General features: G+C 39.8%; 1 protein-coding gene across 21 annotated transcripts in view; it reads left to right on the forward strand.

Annotated features, from left to right (window-relative positions):
• The window catches only part of MAST4 (microtubule associated serine/threonine kinase family member 4), a 573,201-nt gene that overhangs the window by 359,648 nt on the left and 198,775 nt on the right, over window positions 1-14,778 (forward strand). For 3 of the 21 annotated variants that reach the window (NM_001290226.2, XM_011543385.4, XM_047417163.1), the window contains exon 1: window positions 3,033-3,254. The exons of 15 other annotated variants lie outside the window; for them this stretch is intronic. In NM_001290226.2, coding sequence (NP_001277155.1) covers window positions 3,208-3,254 — 47 coding nt within the window. In that variant the 5' untranslated portion in view covers window positions 3,033-3,207. Of the gene's footprint in view, window positions 1-3,032; window positions 3,255-7,666; window positions 7,748-14,778 lie in introns of those variants that run through there. 3 more of the 21 variants (XM_017009449.2, XM_047417161.1, XM_024446044.2) reach the window with 2 other exon arrangements.

The raw sequence follows: 14,778 nt of genomic DNA on the forward strand, positions 1-14,778 counted from the left end.
TCGAGCTCCTGGCCTTAAGTAATCCTCCCACCTCAGCCTCCCAACATGCTGGAATTACAGGCATGAGCCACTGTGCCTGGCCTTCTTTTAAACTTTGGGTTCCCTTTCCATCTTCCCCCTCCCCCATTAAAATTTTAAGAAACCAGGTCATTTGTTCTGACTTTCGTATCTAGCTTTTGCTGATCACGTCTCTGTGATATTGTTTAACACATTCCCTTGTCTCTAACCTGTAACTTGATATTTCGATGTAGAGGCTTAGTTGTATCCAGGGGTGCTGGAGTCTTTTTGGTAAGACTACTTCATGTGTGTTGTCTTGAGAAGTTCACAACGTCCAGGGTTTCTCTCTTTGTGATGTCAGCAGTCACTGATGATCATGGCTTAGATTCCCTGGGGTTCTTTAGAGTCTACAAAATTTTGATATTTTACGACCGCAGTTCCCCCTTTATTCACCAATTGGAATGCATCTATAAAGTGAATGATTTCCCCATCTGTGAGGTGTAACTCATAGGGAATGCAGGGGATGTGCTTGATTCTTCCCCTGTATCAGTTTTCAAGATTACTGCAGCAGTTCTCTAGCATCCCCTCAAGGTGACGTAATTTTCTCTTCTTGAACTCGTGACTTTAAACATTTGATGTGTTGTAATACATTACCATTGTTGTTCCTATTGATGCTTGATTATCCCATATGGGGCCAAATGTCCTAAATTTGTGGCTTTTACTCACAGGGAAGCTGTTGGAGGATTTTGAACAGAAGAGTGACACATTCTGAAAGAGATCACTCTGGAGTTTATGTGGTCACCAAGGTGTAGAGGGTACCAGGGAGGAAGTAGACCATTTAGGAATAATCTAGCCAAGATACAATGTATTTTGGGTCAATGTATTTTGACATTAGGTGGAAAGAATGGTGGCATTCTGGATATTTTACATTGAAAGGAGGCTTATTTTGGAGTTTTGGAGGGCAGGATGGTGAGTTTTCTTTTGGGTATGTTAAATTAGGGGTAGTAAAAGGAAACTGAAGTGAAAATGTATTGTAGTCCATTGGCTATATGGAACTGAAGTTTACTTCAGAAGATCTGTGTGTAGAAGGCTATTGAATAATATTCTAATGTGTTTCCTGAGATGAAGGTCTACTTTAAAAGTTAAAGAATTTGTGGATTTCGCTTTATTTTTTGTTATAGGGTGGTAACTGATTTTTTTCTTTTCTTTGTTTATCATAATCTGGCTGTGACACCCATGCTTTCGAACTTTCCCCGACCAACTTTCCTAAGGAAAGTTGAGGCCTCTTTTTTGTGTTCCATTATATCTTGTTTGTTTGTTTGAGATGGAGTCTTGCTGTGTTGCCCAGGCTGGTCTCAAAACTGCTGGACTCAAACCGTCTTCCCGCCTCAACCTTCTGAGTAGCTGGGATCCATTATATCTTTTTAGTATTTCCTTTTGTGATGCTTTTTTCTACTAAATTACAATTACTTTTTACATCTCTAGCTGCCTCTCTGTGGAGTCAGTGACTATATTTCAAGTATGGATTTGTTACCTCCAAAGGATAAGAGGATTGGTTGGTTCTGTGAGCTCACACTGAGAGATAAGCTGGTACCTAGTTAACAATGGGCATTAACAAATGCCCCAGAGCAAGTTGATAGTTAAGGATGTAGAAAAGAGTTCTGAGAGTATCCTATAAACCTCCACTGGCCCATATGCACCTTTGTGGAGTTAGAAACAGGTAGCCCTCCAGAAGGGCACAGAGCTGAGGGAGACTTCGTGAAAATGAGAAAAATGGAGTGGAAGCAGCCCAGAGCCAGGTGCAGGCATAAAACCATGGAAAGCAGACCAGATGTTGGTTCCTACTTCCCTCCTTGCCCAGGGCACAACCTGAACAGCTACCTGTGGCATCCCTGCTTAGGCAGACCTCTGGGATAAGAGTAAATTTACAGACCAGGATCTAATCCTATTATAGCCGCCAACTGTGTGCCCTCAGTTTCTTCATCTGTAAAAAGACAGAGTTTGACTTCATAGCCTTTGAAATATAACTGCTTGAATATACTTGCTATTTTACCGCAGTTTGGCTCTGTCTCTCTCTCTCTCTTTGTGTGTGTGTGTATGTGTGAAAGAGAAAGAGAGAGAGAGAAAGAGAGAGAAAGAGAAAGAGATGCCTTGTAGTACTTGAAAATTAGAATTCTTGATAAAATAAAGCTCTAATTTGTTCTAGTGTTTCTTTTCAACAAACCAGGGGTTGCCAAGTTTTAAAACATTTTAAAATGCATTAGAGGAAGTGAGTCAGTTACGTTCTTCATACACTACAATGGAAGTACACTTAGTTCCAAGTTATGAATGCTGTGAAAAATTAGGTTCTTTTAATAAATACAAGATGAAACTTTCAGGCTTTCAAAATTCATGTTCTTTCTTTCCCTCCTTATTCATATTAGATTGCTTTTGTAAAGTATACAGCACTGCGATCTTAAAAATGAGCTTTTCGAAAATAAAAATCCAAGTGCCTATCTCTTGCATTTCCAGTTGGTAGTTTCCTATCATCGGGTTTGCCTGTTCACACAAGTCTTTGCGGCACAACGGAGTCTGACTTCCCCCAAATTAATGCAGTTAGTTTATTCCTCGTTCTGATGATTGCCATATATAGAGAAAGATCTAATTATTTTTATGTGGCACTATTCCTCATTTATTTCTTGGGGACTATGAGTGATTTAGTTAACTCCACCAAGGGAAGTGTAAGATGAGCCTCCTCAGGGTGGCTGAATTCTATTCGAGAGCATCACAGGGAGGTGGGGAATAGTTGACGTGTGCTGAGATAAACTCTTTTACAAGTATGACACTGTTGCTTTATTTTTTTGCCCCAGTCTGCAGGGTGAAAAGGACTTTTCATTTCACTGAGGTGAAAAGTGGGTCTGTGAGTAGAGCGACTTTCTTTAAAAAAAAAAAAAAAAATCAGAAACCAATTACTTGATATGCAGAGCTGCAAGCCTCGTTCCTTTAACAAAATCAGTGCAGTGTGCACTGCCGTTAACCTGAGGAAAGCAGCTGACATCTCTTGATTACGGCTAGAGGTGGAAGGACCCAAACTTGCAGCCTCCCCCTCCCCCTCGAGAGAGTGTTAGTCCAGTCCTTTAGAGAGGTTCGGTTTGGCTCTCTGTCATCACCGGGACGCTGGCAGGGAGTGTGTGTCATGGTTACAATAGAGTGTGCTAACATATAACAACCATGAAAGCCCAGCGGGAAAGGCTACAGATTCCGGGGCTGACCTTGGAGTAAGTATTGTCTGTCTTTAATATTTTAATGCTTTCTGCATGGCACTCGCTTTCTGGCGACCAATAGCTATTTAGCATTTGTTTGTACTGACAGCCTCAGAGCACTGCAGTGTGAGGTGGAGGAACATGTCTTAAATGCATGGCATTTGGTTTCAGCTAATGTGGACACCCAGACCAGCATTTTGCATTGCAGTCAGAGGAAAAGCATTGCTGCATATTTAAAGTTACTAAACCCCAGTTCTGGAAACATCTTAACAGCTCATTGTGAAAGAATGTATCAGTAGGCCATGGTGTATCTGTCTTTTTCTCCTTCTCTCTTACTGTTTGTTTATCCCTATGTTGCCTTTTTCTAAAGAAAGGCCTCTGTCTGCATTGAATAATAGAAGACATTACAATGGATTAGAGTGCAAGAGAAGGGTTATTTGTGACGTTCATTAGATGTGATCCATGTTTTATCTGTGCAACAGAATATTAATGAACTGTGGTACATTTAGAATCCTCTCTGCAGAATCTCCAGCCACTGCATGCAATGTGTTTACCTAGTTGAGCTGTGTGTTTGCTTAGCTGTTTTTTTTTTTAACCCATTAACTCATCTGACTGCCTTGTGATGTGATGTAGCTACATGAACATGTCCACATCTAATTTGTGGCGCAGAAGTTAGACATCTGTGATGCAGGAAGTGTCAGCAAATTTTTATTTTAAATCTGTTAGTCAAAGATGCAGAAGCTGTGAGTTAGTCTGTGCTGTCACACTTAAAATAATAAACAGTAAAATATAAATCCGGTAGACAAACATAAATATCCCTCTTTCTAACTTACAGCACAGATATAAAATTACATTTCAGTGAATTCTGTACAGTCCCAATAATCTCATACTGGACTGTCTGCAGAAAGAGACTGCAGAATGAGAACTGTGCTTGGTTCTGAGGATTTATTATTCCTCTTGAATTTTGTAGATGCATCATACAAGAGAAATTATTTCCTTAATTAATAAAAGCATGACATTCTGAAGTGAATACTTTTCTAATCAGTCCTTGCTCTAAAATTGTGCCCTGATTTTATACTAATGAGGGACTCACTTACAAAAAGTTAGAGGGCTCTCACAACCTTCTTGCTAGCTGTGACATTCTTCATATTAGAGGTACGAATAGTATTTACCCATTGCCCTAACATTTCTCCCATCTCCACCCCCACCCTAACATTCAACTCTCACCATCTGTGTGGAATATTTTAGTGGCATGCACTCATTCTTCTACTTAACCCTCCTCTCTCTAGCTGGAAATGCATAACTAAGCCATAGCTCTGTGTTTAAAACCCAGGGGCATTAACCTCCCGCTTTGCTTTTGCCTCTGTTTTTTGTTGTGCTGTTTCCTGGTTGTTTTCTTTGGACTTAGTAGATATCATTTCACATTAGGCTTTTTCTTTCTTTCCTCTTCTTCCTTTACTTTTTTTCTTTCTTTTCTCAATCTTGTCTACATTAAGAGGAGACACTTCAAAGTAACTTTTTAAAAATATGAACTCAGCTGTGTCAAACATTCCATTTTATGATTAGAAGGACTGAATTATGCCACGAGTTTTATGACCTTGCCAGCGTCGACACAGGACATAACAGTCAGCTAAACACAGGGGATCTTTGGATGTTGTTTTGGTATCAGGCCACGCCCCCTCCTTCTATCCTCTTATCTTGGTAAATATTACTGTGCATTTAAAATAGGTAATTCTGTTTGCCTAGGGAGCGTGAGAGTGGAATAGAGAATCACTCTTAAATATCATTGTAGTATTAGTATGTGATTTACTTTGAACATTTTGTTTACCTTGAAATGCAAAATTACTCTAAAATGGACATAGCTAACTTTACATTCACTCATGGAGAAAGCTAATTCTGCAGTCTTTGAGTAAATTCAACTTCTAGCCACTGCAGAGGAATGTTATAATGGAAAGTCTTATCACAGATTCTATTAAAAGCAGATTTAATGTATATAAATTTAATTATCTGGGAATCTTACAGTCTTAACTCACACAGCAAATGTGTAGAACAGCTTTTGAATGTTCATCAGACATTACTGTTTTTCTTTCAGAAGAGTTTATTCCATAAGCACTGCAGCTGTGGAGTATTATATGAGCCTATTTTATGCTCTGTAGATGCAATCTAGAATTTTCCATTGGATTTATCAGTAAACACAGGGCAGTTTCTGATTCCTGTTTCAGATATTGAAATCTTAGGTGTGAGACATCAAATATATATTTCAGAAATTAATAAGTTGTTAATTTATACAGAAATTTATGATGCCTAAATAGCCTATGCCTGGCTTTCCAGTTTCTGAGAAAGGTAGATTTTTTTGTTTTTTCTTTTTTCATTGTAAGTATAGAATTGGGTACATAGACACTTCGTAGCACTCATCATGTGTGTTTCCGCATAGAGACTGGGAATGGTGTTAGTGCCTATGCATGCCGATTTTAGGACAGGAAGGAATAGATAAGACTGTACATAGACAAAATGATGGACATATCAGGGGACATTCCTGAGAGCTTTCCAATGAGCTGCTAAGTTAGAGTACAGCATGTTTAAGAGCAGCAGCTTTTGAATATGCTCTGAGTGTATAAGGAAAATAATTCCTTACTAATTACAAGTGCTGGTACCAAATCAGAGAATGGTCTTAGAAGATATAAAACTTTACTCTGTTGAAACATTATATTTTTTAATTAGAGCATTTGAGCAATAATTTAATATTTTAGTTTAAGACAAATACAGCCAAGTCTCAATTATCCATATAATGGGAGACAAGGATGGCATTTAGGATTTGCAAACCATAGTAAGCCCAAATCTGATTTTAGCCATCATTGCCAACCCTCTGTGCCAATGAAGAGCACAACCAGCTTGAATCAACCAAAATGCAGCTCTGTTTCAAGACCTCATTCTCTGAGATAGGAAAACATGATACAGTGTAGAGCCATCGTCCAGCGGAGAGGCAAAATAACATTCTTTAAGAAACTCTCTGCACTAGCCAGGCACGGTGGTGCATGCCCATAGTTCTTGCTACTCAGGATGCTGAGATGGAAAGCTCTCTTGAGCCCAGCAGTTCAAGTTCGGCCTGGGAGGCATATGGAGACACCATCTGTAAAAAAGTAAAAAGGCAGCCATGGTGGCTTACGCCTGTAATCCCAGCACTTCGAGAGGCTGAAGCAGGAGAATCACTTGAGCCCAGGAGTTTGAGATCAGGCTGAGCAACATCTTGAAACCCCATCTCTACAAAAAATACAAAAATTAGCCAGGTATGGTTGTGTGTGCTTATAGTCCTGGCTACTTGGGAGGCCAAGGTGGGAGGATCACTTTGAGCCCAGGAGGTGGAGGCTGCAGTAAGCCACTACACTCCAGCCTGGGTGACTAGAGTGAAACCTTGTCTCAAAAAGAACAACAACAACAACAAAAGACAGGAAAGAAACTCATTGCACTATAGCAGGAGTTTCTATTGCTCACTTCAGTCTTAGAGTTGGGGCAAGAATACCTACAGAATACTTAGCTAATTTTTACTTTGATTTTGCCATGTAAAAATAGTTGGTAACTGACTAGCATCAACTCCATGCTTTAATAGATCTATTAGATCTATTGGTTAAATTGTTGTACTGTATCTAATTTAAGTTTTATCTCCCTAAAAAAAGAGACATGAGGCCAGAAAGAAAAAAGATGAATGAACTCTATTCCAACCACACTGTGATGAATATTTGAGAATTGGCTGGAATAATCATGGTGGTTTGGATGGGTGGGTGGGGAGTGGGGGGTCAGGGATTATAATGGTTCATTGACAGTTGGATTTGAGAAGACCTCTCTGGAAGATAAAATAATATATAACTACATGTAATAATTTTTGAAATTATTTATTTTGAATATATGCATAGGAACACTTTTTATCATTGCCCCTGAGGATTAGATAAAATATTGGGTCTTTGTTATAAGGAAGACTTGTTTTTCCTTGCAAAAGTGCTTAAAAACGCATCTTCCTATGGGGAAATGTTAGTTGCTTTGCTTTGTAAAAACTACGATATTTCACCTAAATTTTTATTTGCATTGTCTTCTTAATCTAGAATAAAATATACTCAATATAAAATGGCACTGGATTTTCTTTGATGCAAAAATCACATGTCAAAGTTATCTGCCAAGTTGCTTTGTGACAAAGAAAAGGCTCAAATAAAAATGGCAGCTGTAGTTTTTAAAATGTAAATTTCAGCAGGAAGCATTTTACTTGTTCTGTATTTTAGAGCTGAAAAGGGCAAGTGATTAGATGATTACCTAGTGGTGTAGATAAGCTTGCCATAGTGATTCTGGCCTAAAGGGAACACAGTCCCTTAACTGAGCTATGCTATTTTTACTGCAATCAATTCTCCCACTTGGAATGACGTTATTTTAACTTTCAGTCTCACTCCCAGGAGCCTGAGTCCAACCCCATCCAGCCCAGGCAGTCCTTGTAGTCCTCTCTTGGCCTTTCACTTTTGGAGGTAAGCATGCTCCAGGGCCTGCCCAGGGCTGCTTTGTCTTTCTGTTGCCCCATTTCCCACCACCAGCATTTGATTACTTCAGACTCTGCAATCCACAATCCACAGGGTGAGGAAACTGGTTGAATTGTTTACTTGGTGACTTACTTGATCACTTACTCTATTTAGCATATTTACTCATATTTCACTTGGTGTCTCTTGACTCATTGTTCAATGTGTGTGTATATGTGACAGTTTTTCATTTTGCTTTCTTAGGGAATGATCTGCACTGAATTCTGTAAGTTTTGATCAATATAAAGATATAATTTATTGGTTTCTAGAAAACATTTCCTAATTCCTATGAGAGTATTATAATACCTGTTGCCTCAAACTATTTTATACACTATTATTTACAGGATAATGTATTTAAATTGTCTAAAGTGTTAATATTTTTTAAATCATTTTTTAGAACTCCAAGGTATATACTCCTACCCCCTCACTCATAGGCTGATTATATTCACTCTTCTCTGTTTGTTAGAGAAATATCCCCAAGGAACTCTTACATTTTAGCATAGTTTGTTATAAGAATACACGATAGAAAATACTGCTACTATAGTATCTATGGTATGTATATTCTAATAGACTTTTCATGAATTCACTATTTATGGATATAGTGAATCTTCCTGTATCTAATCGGAAGACACACATAGTGTACCCAGCGTCCCTTTCCCCTTTTTAAAAATCCTAATCCTATGGGGCTGGGCACGGTGGCTCATGCCTGTAATCCCAGCACTTTGGGAGGTCGAGGCGGGCAGATCACGAAGTCAGGAGATTGAGACCATCCTGGCTAACACGGTGAAACCCCGTCTCTATTAAACATACAAAAAATTAGCCGGGCGTGGTGGTGGGCGCCTTAGTCCCAGCTACCCCATGGGAGGCTGAGGCGGGAGAATGGCGTGAACTCGGGAGGCGGAGCTTGCAGTGAGCTGAGATCTGGCCACTGCACTCCAGCCTGGGCGAAAGAGTGAGACTCCGTCTCAAAAAAGAAAAAATCCTGTGGAAGAAAGTAGAATCAAATTATCCGTTGATGCAAAGGGCAACTTAAATTTTTTTATGAATATTTTTTATTTCATAAACGCAAATGAATGACGAATTTGCCACTTATGGCCACTTCCTTAAAAATATTAACTTACAAGCTTTAGATGATATCAGTGGGACAATTTAACAAATTTGTTTCTTTCATATTTCTAAAGTAAGGCCGAACTGAAATCTGCAAAGAATAATCGACTAGGGAAACAAATTAATGACTTGGAACTTTAGTTCTACTCTTCTGCTGATGGGATTATACTTATTATTGTAAAAGTGACTTTCAACATGAGAGTTTTGTGTAATAGCTTTTATACAGCATCCCCTGAATTTAATAGGTCCTAAAACATAAGAGTAGTTTTTTTTTTTTTTTTGCTTTTTTTTTTTTTTTTTCCCTATCTGGAGAATTCCTTTGCTCTTCTAATGTGTCCATTTTGGTTATCCAACTGCAAGAAATTGAACTGTGTCCTGAACTTTTTTTCTTTAGTGTAATATGTTTTCATTAAATACAATGCTTGTATTTCCTTTTCTTTATTCTTCCTAAAGGCAATAGGCTATTCAATATGAAGATGGCATCATTAGTAGAAGAGAAAAGAAAATTAGATTCAGTGCTAAGGTAGTGCAGAGGAGGATGAGGTTCTGAAGAGTGTTTTGGGGAAAAAGTTTTAGGGAACTGGTTGCGTTTGAGCTGGACCTTGAAAAATATTGGAGGTTCAGTGGGGAGGGATTGGTGGGGGCGGGGGGGGGGGCGGTGAAGGATAAAACCAGACAGAGAAAAAAAAATCTAGGATGTAAGAAAGCATAGTATATGGTAGAAATAATGTGTGTCACTAGGACATAGGATAGGTGAAATAGAAGAAAAGTTTGGAACTGTATAGAGATTGATATAAACTTGAAAATTAATTTGGGGGCATGCATGCTATGTAAGGCCTTGAATACTAAAGCTAAAAAGTTTGACTTTCATTTTGTAAGTGTTCAGGAGTCAGAAGATGTTTTGAATAAGGAAATGACCAATCTGAGTTCAAACTGAGGAAACGTACCTTATCAATATTAAGAATAGATTGTATTTTAGGCAGAAACTCCAATGAGGATGCTAGTACAATCTATAATGAGTAACAGGTCTGGGAGTAGGACAATTGCAATAAACTAAATTAAAATTTGCAGAGTTCTTTATAGTTGGCCAACTGGTTTTATGTACATGGTTTCATTCCATTTAATCCACCCAACACTACGTGAGACAGAAATGAATATTGCCTTTGATTACAGATGAAAATGCTAACCCATACAGAGATTAAATAGTAGCCTAGGACTGAAAATGAAGTCTCAAATCTTTCCACTGTGACTAACTTAAGACATACACATGTTGCTCTGAGATCATTTATATTGAGTTTTAATTATCTGGTTTAGGTAGACCTTGTGACCTTCTTTAGTCATTTTTATTTCCCCAGTGCCTCACTCTGTATATGGAATGTACTAAGTGTTTGAAAAAATGCTTATTAAAGAATGAATAAATGAGTGAATAAGAAATAGAAGATGTATTAGTTACAGTGCTGCTAATATACCAACCACCAAATAAATATACAATGGCTCAAATACAATGGAATTGCATTGTTCACTCATAGATGAAGGGTTTGCAGGAGGATCTGCTCCATAGAGTCATTAAGGGATCCAGGGGGATCTTTAACCCATGGCCTTCAAGGATGCCTTGGGCATCAACATTTAGCTGGTGGAAAGGGAAAGAGCATGGAGGGTGGTGCACTGACAGACCTGAAGGTGGCACACATCACTTCCATTCACATTTCATGGCCTAGAAGGTGGTATTCTGACTGTATCTAACAATAGGGAAGCCTGGGAAATATGGCTGGCTGGTGCCCAGGAAAAGGAGGAAATAAGTTTGGTTAAATAGTTAGCAATCTTTGTTGTAGAAGTTGATGAAATAAAGGTGCCCCATAGCAGGTGTTCAGTAGATAATTTTCAATGAGTTGACTTACTTACACTGCAATTTCTAGCATTAGTGACTTGAACCCCAAAAAACAGAGTTGGTGAGGGAGGAAAATGTTGTAATGATGAGTCTGGTCATAAACACAGTGAGAAAGTTGTAGGTAGAGATATCTGGTTGGCAGCTTGGAATTGGGTATCCCTGATAGTGTGCCCCAAAATGATGGTCTAATATTATAAATTGCAAGACTCCAAATATGTTCATGCTGTTACCACAGAAAAAGCATGTTTTGTATCCCTGCACAGATTTTGTTTTCCTACCATTGATTGTGATGGGTCAGATTTGTTCTTTATTCCTTTTTCATGGTGGGGCTTAAAGGTCTAGGACAGAGTGGTGGTGGTGAGTATCACAGTGTCTGTGCCCTTTTGAGGTGATGACACACAGAGTTTCTAAATATGACAATGGAAGATTCTATTCTTTTCATAGTAAAACCCTGGAGGCAGGCTGTACAGAGACATGAGTCAGCTCTCCATCTCCAGCGGAACTCCAGGGGCTTCTCCAGGCCAGGCTTCCTGAAGGTTGGCCAGAAATAAGACATCTGCAGCTTCCAGGACAGCTCAGTTGCTAAATAGGACTTACGTTTTGTTTAGTATGTCTGGGTAGTAAGACCTTGCACTGCCATATGGAGGTTGTGGTAAGACAAATTTGGGCGCAGTATGAAGGAAAGAATTTTCTAAGGAAGATTTCTGAACTTTTAATGGGCTGCCTCATCAGACCATCAGGAAGGCCAGGCACCCAGTGAGCTGGAAAGATGCAGACTGTATTCCTGTACTGAGCAGAGGATTAGACTACGTTATTCTCAAAAGCCCTTCCATCTTGAAAATCTCACACTCCTTAAAAAAAAAAAAAAAAAGAAAAACATCTTCCATCAGGGCTGGAGAAATAGGCAAAATACACACTTTGTCTACAAACTAAATATATATATATATATATGGCCCTAAATATCAGTTTATTAGTTACCAGTGTGACAGAGAGCATCTTCAAGACCTTAAGTGGAATTTATGTACAACTTTGCTTTCCTCCTTCTGAGGCAACCATAACCACTCAGAATTTCTCATGACCCCCAGTACTTAATAAATTGGCTACCACTTAGGAGCTGTTTGTATAATGGTGACATCAGTGCCTCCTGAGTAATATAGATGTGACTCGTGCCAGCTCCTAATCTGGACTGTGATTAGATAGCAAGATTCCAGAAGAAGCTATCTCATTTCACATTCTCAGTGGCTTTCTTGGCACCGAGCACGCCTTGCCATCAATAGGGACCCAGTAAGTAGCTGTAGGCTGGAACACCATTACTCAGTGGCCAAGTTTCTATTATGCCGTAGTGATGTTCTTTTGTACTTCTGCTTCATCCCCCAACATCTTCCTGGATGATAACCACTCAAGAGCCTGCTGGCTGCATGTCTTGTGTTCCTTGTATTTTACTTCTTCCATCTTTTTCTTTGCATCTCCCTTTGGTTTCTGGAGTCTCAGAGTCATAAACACACAGTCAGCTATGCCAGAGTTGGCAGTAGAGAAGGTATGCTGTTTCTTCTCCTTCCATCTCCCAAATCTCTCTCTCCCTGTTTCAGCTGTGACTGAAAACACACATGCCATGTTGCTGGTAGGATATAGTACTACTTCCAGAGAAGAATATTATCACTGTGCCATCAACTCCACAAGGACAACCATTTTTGTCTACTTTTTCACACATATATCCACAAAACCTAAAATAGTTCCTGACATACGTAGAAGAGGCCCCATAAATATATATTGATTTAATGAATGAATGTATTATTCCCTGGGACTCAAGCCTGTTCTGATGTTTTCACCTGTGCTTAAACATGAGATCGAGTTATATAGAAGGTATGTTTTGAGAGCAGTGCTGGCACCTTGAGAAAAAGGACTTATTTTTTATTCTTCTATAAATAGTAAGTTATAGCCATCAAAATGTAAAAACTGAGTAGATATCAATTATCTAGGACAAAGTAGAAAGTCATTGTTAATTAAAGTTAGACCCCAGCTTATATTAACAGATATGCCTAGCTATGGTGAGGGACAGAGAAAATGATACAGAAGTCATGGCAGATTACACACGGAAGAGGATAAGTCACTCTAAGGAGGAGTAGTAGAATGTAAGTTCTGGAGGGCAAGACCTGTCTATCTTACATACTGCTGTCTCCCTAGCCCATGTAGCATAATGTGGTACTAAATAACTAGGTACTAAATAAATTATTTAGTTGTCATTAAATGTGCTTTGAAGCAATAAGAGAATTGTGAATTGGGGGCTGCTTTTACAAACCCGAAGCCCTTCAGTGAGTCTGTGTTCCTTTGCAGCCACATTCTGTCTGTGGCTGGGTCCCTGCGGCACCTTTTAGAGCTGCCATTCTCCATTTCAGCATAGACCCCACCTAGCTGGCTTCATTCATTCACAGTACCTGAAGTGGCCCTGGAGATACTTGAGTTTGGTACTTCACAGACTAGGAGTTATGGTGCCTGAGTCTTGGTCACAGACCTCACCACATGTAAGCTTTGTGACCCTGGGCAAGTGTTAAACTTCTTGAACGCTCATTGTCTTTATCTATGAATCCCCTACCTCGCTGGCAATGTAAGAACAGTAGCTTATGGGGTTTTAGTGCAATAACTTTTTGTGAGCAAGAATGGAGCATATGGTGGTCCTAAGAGTGATGGGCAGGAAAGGTAGACAGCACCTTAACAGGGAGGGCATCCAGCGTAATTCTCACCTAGTCCCATTTTGCCAAGAGCTGGCCTATTTGTCCTGTTGCTGCTTGGAAAGGTTACTGGGTATCCATGGCTGCCTGAATCCCCCTCACTTCACTTGTTGCCATGGTGAGGGGCAGACATCATAGGCATTTACCAAACACATGGCAGTATGTTGTGATTTTGTGTCTCCTTTTCACAGGGAACCTGTAAGACTGGGAAAGTCACCTGACGGCTAAACCACTAAACCCTTTTAGTTTCTTTCGCTTTTTACAATGAGAGGTCCCATTTGTCTTTTTTATTCTATTTTTCCGCCTTTCACTTTGTGGAGAACATTGAAAAAATCTGAAGATGCTCGTACCAGATGGTAATTTCTTTGTACTCTACAGACACCAGTTCCTGTGCTTTTGTGAATGTGATGGTTTAATGAATTCCTGGAATTTTATTTCTGAATTGTCATATAGGATCAAATCTGTGTCATGCAGGCACTCTTAGGAATGGCTCAGCCAAGCAGAGATGAGCCTGATTATGAACACGGTGCCAGCCCTGTGGGTGTGGGGCTGGGGAGAGATGAGGAAGATTGGCAGTCTCAGCTGTCACTGGGGTGGTGTGGACAGGCCACTTAGCACTTCCCTCCACCCTACCCTTGCTGGTTTCTGCCAGTGCCACCACCTGGAGGCTTCCCTTGCTTAGTAAGAAAGAGGATGTGTGTGCGGTGCTCCAGAGGAGGACAGGGTGGGGTAGGAGACTTCAAGTGGGTAGCAGTAATGGGGAAGGGCAAGCATAATAAACTTACTGCAGAAAGGTTGTTTCCTTTGATTTTTCTGAAATATAGTATTTTTAAAATGGGTATTATAAGCTCATCTTCTATAAACTTGCAGAACCTAGGGGATGAAGTCTTGTGAGGTCAGATGGCAAGCAGAGCTTTTAGGTCCGTGGGGTCTTGGCACAGCTGAGTCTCTGCAGCGCCTTGACTCATCCATGTATAGACACCTACATGTTCCAGGCCCAGACAGCCATTCCAGGGCCATGTTGTTTGTCATGATGGTTTGTGTTTTTTATCTATGCACTCACCTTTTCACATTAACTTTTCTGTTTTGTCTACTGACTTGAGTTAAAGGCAGAAATTACTAAGCTAGATATTTGCATGTGCAGCGGCTTAGTGTCCAGCATTGATGGGAGCTTGCTACATGCCTGGCACTGTTCTTAGTGCTGCACGTATGTTAACTCACACAGTTTTCACCCTGTGGCTGGGAGGCAGGTACTGTCT

This window comes from Homo sapiens, chromosome 5, assembly GCF_000001405.40.
Source record: "Homo sapiens chromosome 5, GRCh38.p14 Primary Assembly".
Taxonomy (NCBI): domain Eukaryota; kingdom Metazoa; phylum Chordata; class Mammalia; order Primates; family Hominidae; genus Homo; species Homo sapiens.